This window comes from Homo sapiens, chromosome 1, assembly GCF_000001405.40.
Source record: "Homo sapiens chromosome 1, GRCh38.p14 Primary Assembly".
Classification (NCBI taxonomy): Eukaryota; Metazoa; Chordata; class Mammalia; order Primates; family Hominidae; genus Homo; species Homo sapiens.
Window position 1 is genome coordinate 172,128,485 of NC_000001.11, and position 18,731 is coordinate 172,147,215.

At 35.2% G+C, this 18,731-nt stretch overlaps 1 protein-coding gene, 1 long non-coding RNA gene and 3 other non-coding genes across 30 annotated transcripts in view; 2 read left to right on the plus strand and 3 right to left on the minus strand.

The window, feature by feature from the left end:
* DNM3 (dynamin 3) overlaps positions 1-18,731 on the plus strand; it is a 576,969-nt gene that overhangs the window by 286,987 nt on the left and 271,251 nt on the right. For 22 of the 25 annotated variants that reach the window (NR_146559.2, XM_017000979.2, NM_001350206.2 and 19 more), the window contains one exon: positions 2,691-2,804. Coding sequence is in view for 24 of the 25 variants with exons in the window: in XM_017000979.2 (XP_016856468.1) it covers positions 2,691-2,804 (114 nt within the window). In the remaining variant the exon portion in view is untranslated. Of the gene's footprint in view, positions 1-2,690; positions 2,806-4,404; positions 4,909-18,731 lie in introns of those variants that run through there. The other 3 variants (NM_001350205.2, NM_001278252.2, XM_047417409.1) reach the window with 2 other exon arrangements.
* DNM3OS (DNM3 opposite strand/antisense RNA) lies at positions 8,395-16,351 on the minus strand. 2 transcript variants are annotated; one of them, NR_103486.1, is made up of 4 exons: positions 16,170-16,351; positions 15,881-15,953; positions 13,652-13,729; positions 8,395-12,112 (listed from the first exon to the last, which is right to left on the minus strand). It is a non-coding gene; the product is annotated as a DNM3 opposite strand/antisense RNA (long non-coding RNA). The 2 variants fall into 2 exon arrangements; NR_038397.2 differs by having other exon boundaries at positions 8,395-16,351.
* Positions 10,314-10,423, minus strand: MIR214 (microRNA 214). The gene has a single exon (NR_029627.1). It is a non-coding gene; the product is annotated as a microRNA 214 (primary transcript).
* Positions 10,324-10,404, plus strand: MIR3120 (microRNA 3120). Its single transcript, NR_036066.1, has one exon. It is a non-coding gene; the product is annotated as a microRNA 3120 (primary transcript).
* Positions 16,051-16,160, minus strand: MIR199A2 (microRNA 199a-2). Its single transcript, NR_029618.1, has one exon. It is a non-coding gene; the product is annotated as a microRNA 199a-2 (primary transcript).

An 18,731-nucleotide genomic window follows, 5' to 3' on the forward strand; every position in this document is an offset into this window, starting at 1 on the left:
ATTAAAAAATTTCTGATAGCCACATTAAAAAACAAAAGGAAACATGAAATTAATTTTTACAATGAATTTTATTTAGCCCAATATATGTAAAATACATTTTGACATGCAATAATTGTTTTAAATTAATGAGATATTTTACATTATTTTTTGTATTAAGTTTTCAAAATTCAGTGTTTATTTGAACACTTATGGCACATCTTAATGGAAACTAGTCAATAGGGCTCAACCACCATATGTGGTTAGTGGCTACCGGCTACACTATCACCTACTTCTGTCTTTCCCCCTCACTAATCCCACTCTCATTCACTCATAAATCCTGTTGATTTTACCTCCTAGATATTTCTTCAGTAGGTTCATTTCCTTTTAACTTTATACATCATGGCTTTAATTCATATCCTGGCCATATTTCACTTGGGTTATTGCAATGGGTTTTATAACCTAGTTTCTCTGTTCCAGGGAGCATGCAAGATCCATTGAAACGCAGGTACTATAGTAAGATATCTACTGATACGTAGTTTTAACGAGAAAATAAGAAAGCTCAGATTCATATTTAATATTTATTTATTATACATACTGATGCCAGCACCCTTGCTCTGCATCTCTGATACAATGAAATAACTAGTATATTTTCATTGAGTGGTATGATTAGCATGCTACTTGTAAGCCCTGGTAGGGTGGGTAATGGTCTTAGTGTGAAATAATTTAACCAGCTCCTTCTTACTCAAAACTATTAAATAGATGTGATCATTTACTCTATGGAAAATAAAGTTTGATTGTATGTGTGCATGCACGGGCTTCAAGCTTCATTGTGAATAAGAATCACCTTGGCAACATATTTAAATGTAGATTTTTGGGTTTCATATATATACATTCTCATTCATTTGGAATGGTAGGTGGCCCAGGAATCTGTATTTTTATAAAGCATTTGAATGATTGTAATATAACTGGTAGAAACCATACTGTATTAGTCTGTCTTCATGCTGCTGATAAAGACATACCCGAGACTGGGAAGAAAAAGAAAAAGAGGTTTAATGGACTTACAGTTCCACATGGCTGGGGAGGCCTCACAATCATGGTGGAAGGCAAAGAGAGACAAGTCACGTCTTACATGGATGGCAGCAGACAAAAAGAGAGCTTGTGCAGGGAAACTTCCATTTTTATTCCATCAGGTCTTGTGAGACTCATTTACTATCACGAGAACAGTGCAGGAAAGATCTTCCCCCATAATTCAGTTACCTCCCACCAGTTTCCTCCCATGACACATGGGAATTGTGGGAGTTAAAAGTTAAGATGAGATTTGGGTGGGGACATAGCTAAACTATATCACTATACTATACTATCACTATACTTTGAGTATTAGTCTGTTCTTTGTGAAGTAGAGAGTTAAAAAGCCGTGGAGAAAAGTGCATTAGCCCAGACTGGAGAGGGATGCTAAATGGGGGTTATAAAAGCAACAGCACACTGAAATGGAAATTGGGCACCAAGGCAATGCTGAAACAGGGAATCAAGGGTGACAGGGGCTGGAAATATGGAGAGAGGCTTGGAAGACAGTGATGAGAACCGTGGTCTATTCCATAATTTTCTCTGGGATTGGCCTTCCTTCTTCAACTAGAAAAGTTAATAGCAATATAAAAATGAAATCTGATTATTAGGGTATTTTCATCTTCCTTTAGTAACTTACATTCATTAGTTTTTCAATAAGTAATTTTTAAACATTTCAGGATGTCAACATATTGAGGAATTTCAGTGTAGGACAGTTTTTGACCTTAGAACAATATCATCCAATTGCATTTAGCATTTCATTTCTAGTTCTGTGACAACAAAATTATCTTGTATAGAGGACATGGTAAATGATGCCCTCTGGATAACAGAATTTAACTTCACAATAACTCTGAGGGGAAAAAAACCTCACATTTTTCCTTAAATTATATAAATACTTATCTATAAATAATTTCTGTTAAATCTATAATCCAAGTTGTTAATATTTTAAAACTTAAAACCTGTTTAAAAAATTTTATGAAGATGCTACATGTTTTGTAATATGGTAGAGAACAACCAGAAGATTTAAACTTCATAGGTTTAAAATTTTACAATATGCTGTTCAAATTATAAATTAAGACTATTAAAAACTCCAAACTTTTCATTTTAGTTTATTATTTTATCTTTCTCCTTCAGTCAGCCTTATTTAGGACTAACAAGGGGCTAACTGATTGAATTGAGTTTCTTCTTTTCGTCATTTGCTGGCAGGTCTCTGGTGGAAATCCTAATGGGCTGCAAACTAGGCAAACAAATGGGCCAGTAGGCTGGAAGTGGGGAAGGGACAGTGGATATGGAGAGTCTATTGTTCATCCAGTCAACTAAATATGTTTTAATTGTAGCAACAATGCCATAAGTAGGCCTGACACAGTCTATTAGTTTGCCTCACTTCATTCTTGTTTCAGTCACTCCACTTCAACCATCGATGAGTCTGAGATTTTTATTCCATTCATTGACAGGAGAGACTTCCCTTCACTCATCTGCACTTTTGGAAGATAAATTCTCTTGAATAACTCAATGGAAGTTGAGTTTGGAGGGAAAATACTATTTTTATTGCAATTAATATCTTGTTTTTAACTTCTTAGTCCAAGACATCTAATCTCCAGTGGCTTTTGTTAAACTAAACACCTCTGCTGATTTCTGCTTTTTCGTAGGTGATTCGCAAGGGGTGGCTCACCATCAGCAACATTGGCATCATGAAAGGCGGCTCGAAGGGATACTGGTTCGTCCTTACTGCGGAAAGCTTGTCCTGGTATAAAGATGATGAGGTAAGTCACAGAGAGTGATAAAGTTTTCTTGTTAAAGTATTTCTCATTTTAAATTAACTGATATTATTATACTATGCAATTTTGAGACACCAGTGGTTCTCTTTCAGTGAGATTAAGCTTGGAATGTTTGTTTAAAAAGGCACTATTATTTTCTTATAGATTTTAAAGTTTACAATATTCGCCCAAATTTCTTTTTCTTTTTGTTTATTTCTTTGCTGTAACCATATGTTTGCTTACCTGAAGAAATGGAGGTAGGCATCAAAGTTGAAAACCTCCTTCTTTATAATCATGTCAATGTACTGGTAAAGTGAAAACAATTTTCGTTAAAGAAAGTGTTGAAGGACCCAAGGTAATAGAACATTTTAAGAGTGAAATTAATAATATTGATGCACAGTTAATAAAGCATGTTGGAATTGTTCCTGTGACATCTGTCTCAAATGAAAGGCTTTTAAGAACGTCCACATCGCTAGTCTTCAAGTGAGTCTCAGATCATTGTTTATACAAATTTTGTTCTTTGAGAATTTGATATCTATGTAAAAGCATGAATTATGGTAATTATAGTGTTCTGGTTCATGTTAGATGTTAATAATTTTGGTCCTGTGACTTACTACTCATTTAAATTTGATAGCTATAAAAGTGCAAACAAAAAACTTATATTAGTCTTACAGAACCATTTAAGTGCTAGAAATCGATACCATTAAAATGTGAGGGAGCACAGATAGAAATTAAACTATGTCTTGAAATTTTTAATAGCCCTGGTCTGACCTGATAATCTTTTGGTACTTATAATGCGGCATGCAAACATTAGATAAGGATACTCTGTGATAGCAAAACTATGTACAGGTGAGATTCTCAATTTCATGTGGCCACGAAGGGCATGTGTTCAAAGTTAAAAGTTTTTCCTATCTTGGCCTGACATCTTTTGAAAGCATTACCGGGTGCCTTTGTCATTCCTTGGAGGAAAAGTTTCATGTCTTATATAGCACTTTTCATTTCTCAGGAGATCTGTGTGTAATAGTGTGTTGAAAAATATTGGATAATTGGTTGATTGCCACTAAACTTTCTGCAATAAGGGAAATGAAATCCTATAGAAATGTATTTAAATTTTTATGTCATTGACCATAGTCAAAAGTAGATTTGGTCACTGTGATAGTATGAGGGTTAGCAGTGGTTTCTTTCCTGTGCTGGCTGCTTAGCTATCTCTGTCATTCTGTGGGAAGCTCTAGTTTTAACATAGTTTGAGGAGCTCAGAGACACTTCCCTAGATGTAAAAATCACTAAATAGATGATCTTCTTTGCTGTTCAGTTGTAATAAGGTATTTCTATTAGATATATTTTCCCTCCAAGGATTTAGATGATAATTTATGTGCATTTAAATACGTGTAAACCTTGGGACCTTTCTCAGTTATACAAGGCCGCAGAAAATATTTTACTAAGGAATCATAACAGTGATGGCTAGTGTTTTATATGTATTAATTAACTCATTTAACCATATTCAGCCTTAACTACTACTATCCCTATTGTTGATGAGAAAACTAAAAATAAAACAAAACCTTTTTTTAAAAAAGTCTTTTCTACAGGACTATTTTCCTTATTGCAGAACATTTAGTCTTGGCGAGGATAACCAACTTACCAAAGTCACACAGCTAGTTGGTGGCAAAGCAGAAATTTGAACCCAGGCTGTTGAGCTCCAGAGCCTATGCTTTCAACCACAAATAAAGGCAAGAATCCCAGAGATGCCTGGAGTTGTCCAAGCCAACCTCATCCCACAGAGGACTTATGAAGATGAATTCCAGGCATCTCAGCATTGACATGTTCCTGGGTGTTAGCAGCAGAGACACTGAAGACTCTGGAGTAGCTACTGCTGTTGGAGTGTGGCATTAGTCTGGCTCTGTGAGTCCTGAAAATAAGCCCATTGGAAGGTATAGGATGCTCTCTGTAGGGAAGGAAGAAGCTTTGAAGGCTTGGTGAGCTCTTGGTTATTGGCTCATCTCCTCTCCTCCAGACTCAGGATAATTCTTTACAAAATCACTGCCCTTGTAGCTTCCTTATGAGTACTTGATTACAACAAATGGAAAATAAATATGCACAGTTATAATATTAACCAAGTGCCATGAATACTCCCGCTCTGTGTGCTGTGTATAACCAAGGTATGGTATGGAGGGTAGTTGGGGGCAGGTGAGAGTGGAAATGACCCTTGAAATAAATGGAATTATTTAGATGAAGAAATTCTAGGAAAGGGTAGTTTCATCCATTTAGATCATTTTAAAAAAGAGGAAATGACAAAGTTACTGTTCTATGGAGCTAACAAGCAAATAGACTAGTAATAAATGTCAGATAGTAAATGCTCTGAAGAAAATAAAATGGGGCATTGAGTTAGAAAGTGATAGGGGAGGGGTCTTTAGATTTGGGTGATTGGAAGGAAGTACCACTTGAGCAGAGACTGAGATGATGAGCTGTGCAGAAGATTTTGCTGAAGAATATTCCAGGTAGAGGGAACAGTAAGTATAAAAACCCTGGAGATGGGATCCAACAGGAAGTCTGTGGCTGTAACATAGGAACAGTGGGGGAGAAAGGAGATAAAATCAGAGGTACCAGTAGATGGGGGCCTTATCAGTCCCTACCCAATGGTTTGGATTTTATTACAAGGATAACTGAAAATGATTGGAGTGTTCCAACAGGTTGTGACATGATTGGATTGATGGTTTAGAAAGATTGCCCTGGCTGCTGGATTGTGCATAATAAGTGGTATGGGGTGGATGCGTGAAGGGAGCGGGGATGGCTAGCATGGAAGAAGGGAGACCAGATTGGAAACTCTGACCATGGTCCAGGCAAGAGAGGATGGTGGCTGGGTAGTAGCTGGTGGTGAGGGTGCGGAGCACTTAAGTTCAAGGTAGCAAAATTATGGGCTACACACAGCTATGATTGAGTCACTAGCTTCTGTTACTCATTCAGAACTCTCAAGAAACAAGACAGGAAGTTCTCATCATTAAGATCATCATTGAGACTGAAAGCTGGCCTTCGTGAATTTAAGCAGGTATAATGACTAGGGGGAATGCTACTTGCAACCACAACTCAAACTCAATGATGATCTTAATGAGGAGGATCATCACCATAATGGCTAATAGTTATTGAGTATTTATAGTTCACTGAGCACATTATTTACATTCTCCATTTTAGAGATAAAGAATTGAGGCTCAAAAGAGAGTGAGTAACTTAGCCAGGTGCTAAGTGTCAGTGCTGTGCTCTTAATCATCTGAACATTTCCCAACAATTACTTTCTGAACACTTGTTATGTACCAGGCACTGTCCTAATCACTAAGGATAAAATGATTAGCAAGGAATTCATGGTACCTATTCTTATGAAGGCTCTTTCCCAATAAAGCAAACATACAAATAAATAGGAAAACCTAGCAGATGCTGATTACAGGCTAGGAAGAAAATAAAGCCAGTGATGAGTTGACATAGAGTGTCTGGGATAGAGGACACAGGTAGGGGGTACTTTACATTGGATGGTCAGAGAAGGTTTGTGTTAATGTTCTGAGGCAGGATTGAGCCTGATGAATTTAAGGAGGGTAATTAAGTCCAGTGTGACTGGAGCAAAAAGAGAAAGGCACTCTAAAGATGAGGATTTTGATATTAAGAATGATGAGAAGTTTTTTAAGCTGGAGAGTCACATGATAAGATTTGAATTCTTTACTGATTCCTTTGGTTGCCTTGTGGAGAATGGATTGGAAGAGGGCGAAACTGGACTGGGGAGTTACTAGAAAGCTATTGCTTTCTACATCTATTGTGGTCTGCATAGATAATGGTAGCTTGGGCTGGGATGAGTTGTTGGAATTTGATAAAAATGAACGGATTTAAGAGATGTTTTTGGAAGGTGAAAATTGACATGAACAACTCATCACACATGCTAAGAGTTGCAGCAAACTGTAAGCCTCTTGAGACCAGGAGACATTGTTTGTTCCCTGTCCTACCACCAGGGGACATAGCACTGATAGGAGACACTAACTAAATATTGATTGAATGAAGGTGTCATTGAGCAAATGAATGAATAAATGCAGCATAATAATTAATCACGTCCTGGCATATCAAGTGTCAAAATTAAATTATTGAATTACAGAATAAAATTACCACTAAAGGTAGATTGTCTTAAATTGTCTTAAATTTTGTTAATTTTCATCATTGAAGGTTAGTGTTTTTTTGTTTTTGTTTTTGTTTTTTGTTTGTTTGTTTGTTTTTTATCCTCTGACTATATATATGTGACTTCCTGGATTGAAAATCATTTAAACAGAAAATTAATTTCCCAATGTTGTTTTCATACATTGCCCATATATGTTGTACATTTTTGGAAAGGGATTTAGTAAAAAGCAAGATGTGAGAATAAAACAGAAACTGTCATTTCAAAAGTTTTTTGAAATGGATTTTTGATCTAGATAATTTTACATTAATACTTTAAAATCAGACTTGAAAAAAATGATGGCTTTTCTTTAACTTATGTCTAAAATGTGAATTTTAGGAGAATGGGAGACCCTGATTCAAGGAGAAAAGAGCCTTATTTTTCTTAAAACCAATGAGAAATTTGTTTTAAAAATACATAAATATGTAAATTTTAAGAGATAATTCAAATCTCTGAAGAAAGAGGACTGTTAATTTATGTATAATAAAAGCACTTAGTCAATATTTATTCTATTTCTATAGCCCAGTGTGTAAAGATTTAAATCATAATGAGCTACTCCTAGGCAAGCAGAATAATGCAACATAGGCGTTTCCAGTGGAAATCTGCTAACCTTATACTATTGAGGAAAACCCAACATCTGCATTGAAATAAGGACATTCTTTGGACTCTTAAGAAATTACAGGCCTCATTTTTGTGGGTTGAAGTGTTTGGATAACTTGATAAGGAGATTATATAATTCCCTTATAGGGATATTTACTTAGCATTGTTTTCATTTTGTAACAATAACAAATGACAAATGTAACTTCAGAAATAGGAAACAAAATGACAGTTATATCCCTGGATGATCAAAGTTGTGAGATCAAGAAGTTATAGAAATATTCAGCTCTCTTTCTAGTTTCACTTATACTTTTAAGATTGTGCATATTTCCTACCAGATCTGCACACTCCCTGTGGTGGAAAAGGTCAGCGTCGACCCTGTGAACACTGTTCACACTCCTTCGTTAAGTTATTTAGTTAGCCAAAACTTAGATATTTTCACAAAAGTCCCAGTAAATATTGAACTCTAATCCACTTATATTACTTAAAATTCTGCATGATCACAGTTGTATATTTTTTTACATACATAAACTATCTGATGTTATTCTTTTTTAATATAGGATTATTCATACAAATATTTCCATGTTCTGGTATTATCTAAAGATTTATAATTTTGAAAAAAAGAGTATTATTCAATAAACCATAATGGCCAATCCTATTCCAAATTTATTAAAAATGAGTTTAGATTCAAACCCACTCCCCTATATGCATTATTTGTCCCACTCAAAAGTTTATCCTGGAAGAGCAATATTATCCTTTATATTACCCTTTCCCAGAAGAGAAAAATTTTTAAATGTGCCTCATTTAATGACTTTAAAATACATACAAAACATTCTTTCAAGCATTTTTTTTGAAAATTGAGTAAAAAATGTTTAACAAAAAAGGTGTTAACTTTATGTTTTAAGGAAAAATATTGAAAATGTTATCCTGGAGTGCCTCACCTTAGGATGACTCTGCTGCCGTCCTAGCTTTCCCTTTGGAGTCTGAAGGACGGGTGTAGTCTCCTTAATGTTCTGGCTAGGTCATTGTCTCATTCTGGGAGCTGTCAAGCACTCTCCTGAGCCTTGCAGGGTCCAGTAGAATAATTCCATACGTGAACTCTCATAGGCAGCATTTGCAACAGGTGGTACAAGGCATTTAAGATTGGGTAGAACGATGTCGATATTCTGTGAGTAATTTTTATATTGTCTTCCTGTTTATATTCTACATTTTGTAAGTATTGTTTAGGACTTTATTTGCTAGTAATGGGACTTTTATTTAAGGCAAAAATCTGCATCGTGCAATGTATCTTGCAGAAGCAGAGATGAATTTTAGCAGATGACATATTGCCATAAGACAAGATTGTTTAAATGAGAGAAATTTAACTTTAATCATATTTGTGCTTTGTAGTTTTGCCCCATCATTCAGTTTTTTAATTAAAGAAACTATAATGTCAGGTTTGGTTAAAATATCATTGTCAGAAAATTTGAAACTCACTGGGATCTTAGCTTTAAGACTGAGACTTTCATTTTAAAAATAAAATAGCTGAATGAAAAATAGTTTGCTTTAGTTAAGAATACATACATAAAGTGTTTAATTGTTAAATGTGAAAAAAGTTTTGAGTAGCCTTGTGTTACATTTTTTAAGCTTGACCAGAATCTAAGAAAGATGAAAATTAATTTCAAATACTGAAGCTAAAACATGTTAATGAACTAAATAAAAGTTGACACATTTCTAATTTTATCCATCTTCCCACCTTTTACCCTTAAGTATTTAAAGTATTCATAGACAAAAGCCATCCCTTATCATTTCACTCCAGTTAACAGTGCATAAACTGAAGTTTGGATATTTTCTCAAAAGATGTGTCAAAATATACATTTCAAGTGCATTAACCACTTTCCTTATGCTTCTGAAGATAAATGAATTGCCTGAACATCTCAAGATCTTGAAAGTTTATAGTGATGGAAGCATAGGTTGCAAGTGAATGTGTTGGCCTTGTAAATTCTACTCCTAGAACTGTAGCATAAGCACCTTCTTAATTAAAGAATGACGCAGTCATAAATTTATGTATACCATGACGCGTGGAAGTATCAAAAATTTCAACTTTCCATATGTCAAAAGAGGAGAAACTATTATTTTAATATAGTTGAACACTAGTTGGAAATAGTAGTCTTTTCACTGTGTTTTGCCCAGACCCAGACTGGCAGAGTTAACCCAGACTGGCAGAGTTAACTCAAAGCACTTGATCCTTTGGAATACTCTTTTTCTCCCTTTTCTTTTCTCTGTCTTTCCACCCTATCCCCTTCCAAAAAAAAAAAAAAAAAAAAAAAATCATGACATAGAAAACCATACTTAGTTTATGGACAAGAATTCTTAGAATAATTTATTCTTTGTTAAGCATCAGACTGAAGTTATATTGTTTTGTTATATTGAGTTTTTATATCAATATAGGGTGCTGCAAAGCTGTGTACAATAAAGGTCAAGGGTAGTGATTTGCTGACAACAATTAGGAAAAGAGAACTATAGAATGCACAGGAACATTTTCAGAAATGGGTTTTATTATATTTCATAGGCACCACTCACTTTACTTTTGGTGGGTTTTAATACTTGAATCAAAATAAAATAATACATGAGTTAAGTATTAAACCAACAGATTAAAACCCCAGGCCCCCGAGCCCCTCATTTTGGTTGTAGCTCTTGGTGTAGATGCTATGGTGTGAGGGCTGCTTTCTTTCAATGGCTGGTTGTCATTCAGGCTGGGTTGTCATGTGACTGCCTGTCTGTGCCTGCTGTACAGGTGAGCGGATGTTCTGCACAGCAAGTGTAGACAGGCAGACACATGACAACTCTGTCCAGCCAGGCCCTTGGTTCCTTCAGGTTTCCTTTGCTCATAGACAGATACAATCAGCCTGTTTTCCAGATTTGGTGATTTTGGAGAGTAAGGGGAAAGGGAGAAAAATACACAATATAATTAAACATTAAAACATTATGGAACTAAAAACAAGTTAGACTTTTGACTTTATTCAGAAAGTACATTTATACATTTGTTCCAAATGTGCTAACATGGATAATTTGCGTAACAGAAAACTCACATTAAAATTTTAAGGAAAAAAAGAGATTAAACACAAGGTTTATTCTTAAGTCCAATTCATATTATTACTGGCCCACATGTAGTCAGAGTTCAGCGTAATTGAACCAGATGTTTTTCCTCTTTGCAAAAAACTGCATATTTTAATACTGAAGTTAAAGATAAAAACTATGTTTATGCATGTTTCTTTTAGTAGATAAGTACCATAACCTTGTCCATGAAAAAGAAAATTATCATTTACATGGAAACAGCAGCCCTTTTCAAAATAATTAATGAGCCTAATTTATTTGGCAACCCAAGTTGCTGACTTTGGTATTTGATGCTCTGATAATAGGATCCTACAAGGGAATATGTTTTTACCAATTATATGTGAAACAACAGGAACCTATTTAAATGTCTCATTTTCCTTTTAAATGCAAAGTTTATAACTGTGGATGTGAAATCAAATTAAAGGCAGTTGTGAGCTTAAGTTATCCACCTCTTAATTAACTATAGGGCCATGCTGTGAATCAAAAGGGTACAAACTGGAAGGCTGTTACTCACAGTGATGCTCAGAATGTGTTTTGGATATAGTTAGTGCAATATAGTTACAAAATAGTACTTAAGAAAAGGCAGAAAAGGCAAATTCATTTCATATCCAAAAAATTAAAACCAGATCCTTTGAAAATTTTTCTTATAATTTATATGAGCTAATAGTGTTAAATATGCAGATATAAAATTTAATTCTGGTGAGTTGAGAGTAATTCTATTTTAATATCAATTATCAATTCACATCTTTAGAAGTATTAAGCAAATTCCCCTCCCCTTTTAAAAACAAAAATATCCAAATAGTCAAAATTCCAGTAAGTAGGACTTCTTAAAAAACACAGCACCAAAAAAACACAGTATTGTCCAAGGATTGTATAATTAGACATTTTCTCAAAGAACTTTAAGAAAAACAAACAGTTTGTGATTTATCTTTAATTGTAAAATTCTGAGAAAATAGCAAATAGAAACTTAATGGAAAGCAAAATAGTTTTAGATACTGAGAAAATTACAATTTTCTACAAATCTGGACTTTTATGCAGTGATTAGGTAAGGTAATGTTTTAACAAAAGCTAATAAGTGCCATTTTCTGTGTATTTATGTAATTTCAAGAAAACAAATTTCCGATTCTGTTTCGGCCATCACTTTCGAGTAAAGGAACTTTTTTTTTTTCTTGACAGAATCAAAAACATGAGTAAACTTGGCTGTTATTTAAATAATTACAAGGTTAGAGTATGCCAAAAACCAGTGCCTTAAAATACTATTGTGTTATTGTTGCTGCATTCAGTGCAACAGAAAGTAATTATAGAGTGATTCACTTACAAAGAGTATATTGGTGGAAATTAAAAATTACTATAATTCTTTATAACTTTTCCTCTCTCTCCCATAAATAATTTGATCCAGTTAACTCTGCTCAATTAAAGGAATGATGCATGCAACCTGAAAAAATAAAAAGAAATATTTGTGAGTTTGTATGTTATGCTTTAATATAAAACAGTTTTATTAAGGCAAGATATAAAAATTTTTTGAGCCAGAAAAACCACAACAGTTTTTCAGGGGAAAAAAAAAATCTTGCTGAAAACAATTGTTCTATTCATAAGGCTTTTGGACAATTTATGTTTCTGATAGATTTTTAAAACACACTTACAGTAACTATGTGACATATGCACACTTCATTGTTATGTTGAACCTGCCCCTAAACTTGTTAAAAAGATGAAAGACTGAAAACCATATTGACCTTTTTTTAATCTCCCAAATTATAGGTTGAATATTAGTTTATTATTACTTAAAATACTAGCTAAAACATAAAAGAGCTATTTGTATTATTATCATACCATGTAATTTTTAGTGTGGTTATTACACCTTGTTTTCTTTTTGTCTTTTATTTCTTAAGGAAAAAAATGTAAGAAAAGAATTGTCTTCTAAGTCTTCTGTAGTGAAATTAAACCAAAGCAACTCCAGGAAACTGGCTGTCACGCTAAGTCAAAAAATTCAAAATGAAGATTTAATTATTTTTCCTAATTTACTTCGTTATCTCTAACTATTAAAACTGATAAAAATTATTTGTAAGAGACCTTTGAAAATGAGTAAATATTTATTTCTACTTAATTTACAGAACATGAAAGTAAGAAGGGATTTGAAGTAAGAAAGTTTCTATCTTAACTCAGGAATTTCCTGTCTCAGGTTAAAGCCTGACCTTCTAGTTATTTTAAGCCAGGATTTCTGAGTGATGGTCTCTTAGTTATTATTTTGACGTTATTGTGATGGGTGGGCTATTCTCCTTAGAGCAGAGTAAAGTGCATTGTTTATAAAGAGCAGATCCCTTACAGAGTAAGTGAAAGCTTTGGCGTCTCTTTACCGAGCATGGATGCTTGTGGATGAGTGAATTTTTTCACATTACCAAGTTGTACTTTTTATATCTTATAACAGCTTAAGACTTCAACCAAAAAAGTGGGGAGAATTCTTTCGTTAGGATTTTTATGCCTAAACTGTTTCCCACAGAGTGAAATACATGGGTGGTCTGTAGGCGAGAGGTGGGGGTAGATAGTATATTTTGGTCTTTTACAAACATAAACATATTATCTGGGCCGAAAGCCCGAATGCCAAGCAGGAAGGATATTAAGCCTATTGACTAACTACAGGAAAGTGATCAGTGTGAAACTTTGTCCTATAGTAAACAGTCTTTCTTTGATTTTGAGATCTGTGGCCTAAAAGAAAAATGAGTTTGAAAATTTAAGTCCACCGTTTTAGATTGATCCTTTTCCAGTTAAGAAATTGTGGTGTTGAAGCTAAGGCTCTGAACTTCCTTTCTCTTAGATGGTGGAAAAGTCCTTTTAACCCAGTACCTAGTCCAATTTATCAATCATTCACATGCTAAAATGAAAAATAATTATGAAATTTCTATGAAGTGTAGTTTGGACAGACCCTGAAACAATTTTCTCTTCATGACCACATATAATGTTTAATTTTAATACTTACACTTATTACATCCAGGGGTAGTTTTAGTTGAAGATGCTCACTGTTGGTTAGTTTCCTCTGGAATAGATTCCATGATCCCTAAAATATTTGTATATCTCCTTATAAAGTAATATGAAAATAAAATTAAACATTTTTCTAATTTACCTGGATATAGATATGGCTATAATGTATATAAATGTGGGCGTGTGTACCAGCGCATAAACTACAATCCTGCCTTCATTCAGCAGAGCTTTATAAAATGAGCTTTTACCTTTGATCTTTAATTTAGCCCATATAATTGAAAAATAAGTACTATTCGTTTTCATTTGTTAAAACTTTGCCTCGAAAATAAGTCGCTAGAGCCACATCAAGCATGTGCAGGAACTCCTTGGTTATCCTTTTACAAAGTAATTCTTATATTTCTACTCCTGTACTTATGCCAGAGGCACCCTTATGTCCCTTCTATCTCCAGACTAAAAGTCATCCTGAGGGAGAAAATAGGTGAGGGACCCATAGGGATTCATTTCTTTGAAACAAAAAGACCGTTTAACATGAAGAAAGAAATTGAAATTAAATATACATTAAATGAAAGCAAATTTTGAAATGTAATCATTTCTAGAGTAAAAAAAAAAAAAAAACCCAGAAAATTTGAGAAAAACATTACCAAAGTACCTTGTTAGCTATTTTTCCTCTTCAGTAATTGTATCAATTAGAAAAAATATATTTCTTGAAAAAATGAGCTCCTCTAAGTTACTTTTTTTAGTTTTCTTATGTAAAAGAAACTATATAGATTTTTAACATCTCATTTGTTCTACTAAAAATAATTAATATGGAACTCTCCAAGTCACAATAGAAAATGAAAGGATAACTTTACTATATCATCTAAGTGAAAGTAGCTAAATTTCTCCTTGCTGTTTATATTTTAACTAATAATCATGAATATATGAGAATACTTAATGTTTTCTTTATACACATTTTGGGGTGATCAGAAGGGTAATTTTTAAAGTAAGTTGTTTTGACAAAAGAAAACTTAGGGAATCTTTTATAATAAAATATTTTGCTAAAGAGAACTTGAGTCAATTTTTGAATTGTTGCAAAATGTATAACTTAGAAAAGAATTTGTTCAGGAACCACTGTAACTTTAAAGGAGGACAAAAGAGATTATGTTTATTTTTCACAAACCCTGTAGAAGAGATGTTTTCATTATATAGAATTGTTTCGGAATAGAAATTAATGGGGGTTAAGAAAATTAGGGATGAGGCAATAACATTTTTCCAGAACTTTCTTTAAGGGGCCGACCTCTAAAGTTCAGCACAGATCACATTGCAATCCAGACTTGCTCTATTATTTTCTCTATTAGGATTTCATTCAGCTTGAGGGTTTTCTTCCCTCCCACCTTCCTCCCCCTCTCCCACCCTCTTTCACCTCCAGGACAGCTGGAAACTGACCAAAGAAAACTTCTGCCTTCGTTTACAAATTCCTTTTTTATCAGTGGGTTTCTAGACAAAGTGCCTTATTTTAAATGCTCAGAGAAGTGGAAGCATTGTAAGCTATAGGCAAGAGGGCTCAGCTGAGCAGCAATTATTAACCACTCTTTGATTTAAAAAAAATGTAAAACAGATATTTACAGGGGTATCTAAAGATAGAGGTTTTTATTCCCTGATTTACTCAGTTGCTGACTCAATAAGTTGTGGGTCGGTGCTCTTCTCTGGGCAAATCCCATCTGCATTGTCTGGTAGGCAAGACTTGGCAGGTTCTTCTTTTATTGTTAGGTACTATTATTCCTGTTGTTTATATTACAGAAGGAAATCTTCAGAAAAGCACTATCCATATAGCATTTAAAAACCAGCAAGTATTCTTTACTTTGGGGAAAAATGACTTCAGTCCTGGGATGTTAAAAGTTATACATACAGCCTTCATCCATATAAGTTTTTAAATCTTTGAATTATTATTAAACAATTCAAAAGTAGCCTCATTAAACTATTCTTAAGTGTCTGGAATGAGTTTTTTCATATTTCATTTTGAAGTGGGAAAACCTTTAAGAAAACACTTGAATTATCAATCTTCAGAAATAAAAAAAAAAAAAACAGTAAATCGCTATATACCACACACTTTTGCTCTTTTAAAATTAAATACATCTCTACCCATCACACATGTACCTCTGTTTCCCTTGCATGTTAACACAAATCATGGGCTCCCCACCTAGGTTCCCTTGGTCACAGACCAGGTGAGCAGTCAAGAAGGCCTTACCCGCTGGTCTTCCCTTCGGCAGTCTTTTCTCAGCAGTGTCCCCGAGGGCTTCTTGGTCCCTAGTGTGCAAAACCTGTGAAGAAAAACACTGGATATGAGATTCAAAAAAGGAGCAAACAAATGTCTTCTCCTTGGAAACAGCCCATTTTGTCCCCAGCGGTCCATGGCGTTGCTCTCCCTTGCCCAGTCTAACCAATGTGCAGACTACTGTACAACGGCATTGTCCTGAACAGGTAGTCTGAACACTGGGGCGACGGAGCAGGATCTCCAGAAGCTTCCTTCTATGTACTTAAAATCCTCTCCCGGTCCTCAGGAAAAGCCTCCCTTCCTGCACCAGGGGTTGCATTCAGCTTTCCCCCCTGAATTCTGCTGCGCTGACTGAGACACACTCAAGGGCTGTGATTTCCAGTCTTGACGTGGCACATTTGCTGCAGACTGGGGAACTGGCAATGAATTTAGGACCAGGAAAAGGGGGAGGGCTGGGCTGGAGAGTCCATATATGGGATGATGTCACCCTGGGGAGGTTTGGGTATGCGCTGTGCCGCTGGAGAGACCGCTAGAATCGCCTGCTCTCAGACATGGGTCTGTGCATAAAATGGTACCAGATGTTTTAGTGTAACGTTAAGCAGTCATTTCATCTTCAGGCCAGATTTTTTTCCTCAACTGGGCAGGAAGTGGGCCCCAGTATGGAAAAGCTGTAAAAAAAAAAGAGTCAAGATGTACAGTTCGGCTGTGGCCAACTGAAAGTGAGTTAGTGTAGAAGTACAAATTTACTGTCTGACCCAGGCTAGAGAAGTAATTTGAAGATAGAGGGTAGATGAAATAGTAAACAGAAAGTTGAACACTGGAAGGCAGAGCTCATTTGGAAACCTTTTTGAGCTTTCCTGTGGCACTTTATTTTCTGGTATTTCACTCGTCAAAAAGGGCAGATAAGTTTCTGTCTGTCTGTCTGTCTGTCTGTCTCTCTCTCTCTCTCTCTCTCCCCCTCTTCCCCTCTCCCTCCCTCTCTCTCCCTCCCTCCCTCCTTCCCTCCCGCTCTCTCTCTCTTTCTCTCCTTCTCTCTCTCCCTCCTTCTCCTGTCTGTTGAATCTGTCAGCAGCTTGCAGGCTGCTCTAGACTTGAACAGTAATTATAGCAACTTCCTGAAAGTGAAGCCCCCATGAAAAGTCTGGAGAAATGTTCTTTGTCATGGCCTCTACATGAGTAATTAGTTCCACATGTGGCCTTCCTAGTTTCCCTCAGCTATTTTGGCTGGGTCTCTGAATGCTGTGCTATAGTTTGACCTAAAGAAACGTTACAGTTTTTGTTTGAAGCATCCACTACGAAACAACGACTCAGGTCTTCTAACAAATCGCCTCTGGTAGATCCATGCTGTTAGGTATAGCATTGTTTTTCACTTGTAATTCCTGATTCTGTTTTGATACTTTTGTTTTGTTTTCATGGTATTCTGTGGCTTAGTTTTATCTCTGGTTAACTAAATCTGTTGAAATTTGCCAAGTACCGCTTGACCAAAGGTTATAAGATATCAGCCCACTGGCATCTACTTTTCTTTCCCTGTTGTGGCTGTTTTCAATTATATATACTCTTGAATATTCTGAATATGTAGTTCTCTCACTTTCCCTCCATAGGATTCTGATCAAAGCTAGAGTCGCCTCAAACAAGAGCTTGATTAATTGCCCTTCTGAAGATCAAAATGTGAGAAAATTTCTAGGTAGCTTCCAAATTTAATTTGACCAACCAGACTAAGAAACTTAGCCTTCTTTAAAGAAAGTACAGCCAAAGCAATTCATTTCCACTGGCCTTCTGAAATACTTTTTAGAAGTAGAAAAATATATCTCTTTTTTATACGCTGCATTGTATATTTCAAAAAGCTTCAAGTGAGTACTGTCCTAAAGCATTTGCTTTTCATAAAATGGCCTCTTTTGAATCATTAAATAGCACACTACTGAAGAGTTCAAAAGTTATGACAAGCCCTTGTTATCTTGTGAGGAAGATTAAATAAGATAAACATGAATTATCTGGCATCTTAGGATGGAACAGAGGTTAGCACTGGGTACACCATTCATAGAAATATTTATATCATCAATAGGAGTCAGAGGAATGACTTTATATCTCTGTACTTTTGCTTCCATATTTGTGTCTTTAGGACCTATTCAATAGTGCTTGCACAAGCCCATAAGACTCACCTCCCTTTTTTCCCTGTCACTGCTTGCATATTACTGGAAATGATCTAAGTGTGACTAAATACAATCTAATACTTGTATTATATGTGGATACCAACTCCATTCTTTTCAAAGTATCTGTGTGTTTACTCACATGAAGTCCTCATAGAGGAGCCATAAACCACTGAACCAGTAGTCAGCCAGTATTCCAGGTGTAGACCTGCTTCTGCCACAGAAAGTGAAAGCCTTTTTTTCTGCCCACTTTCATTTATGTCCATAAGACATGCCTTGGAAATTTTTGTCAAGGCAAACAAAAGGTGGTTTTGATCAGACTGCACCATGATTTCACCTTAGTCTGTACATCTATATGCCCTCAAATGGTTCTACTACCTACACCAAATAGAATCTTACAATATTTCCATCAAGTGACTTAACTTTATACTAATCATTATGACTCGTGAAACATTTTAAGGAATTTTCTCCAGAGACAGCTATAGAAATTGAGTTCCCCTTAGAATATATGTCCATCTCCTTGAGTTTCCAGTTAACTGAAGTGTTTGTGGGTGCTCTTGCCTCCAAATAGTTCAACGAATATTTATTCTTGCCTACTCACCTGCTAGTCACAATACCAGCAACTGGGCATACAAAGATTAAGACCTGACTCCTGCCCTCAAAAAGCTCACACTTAC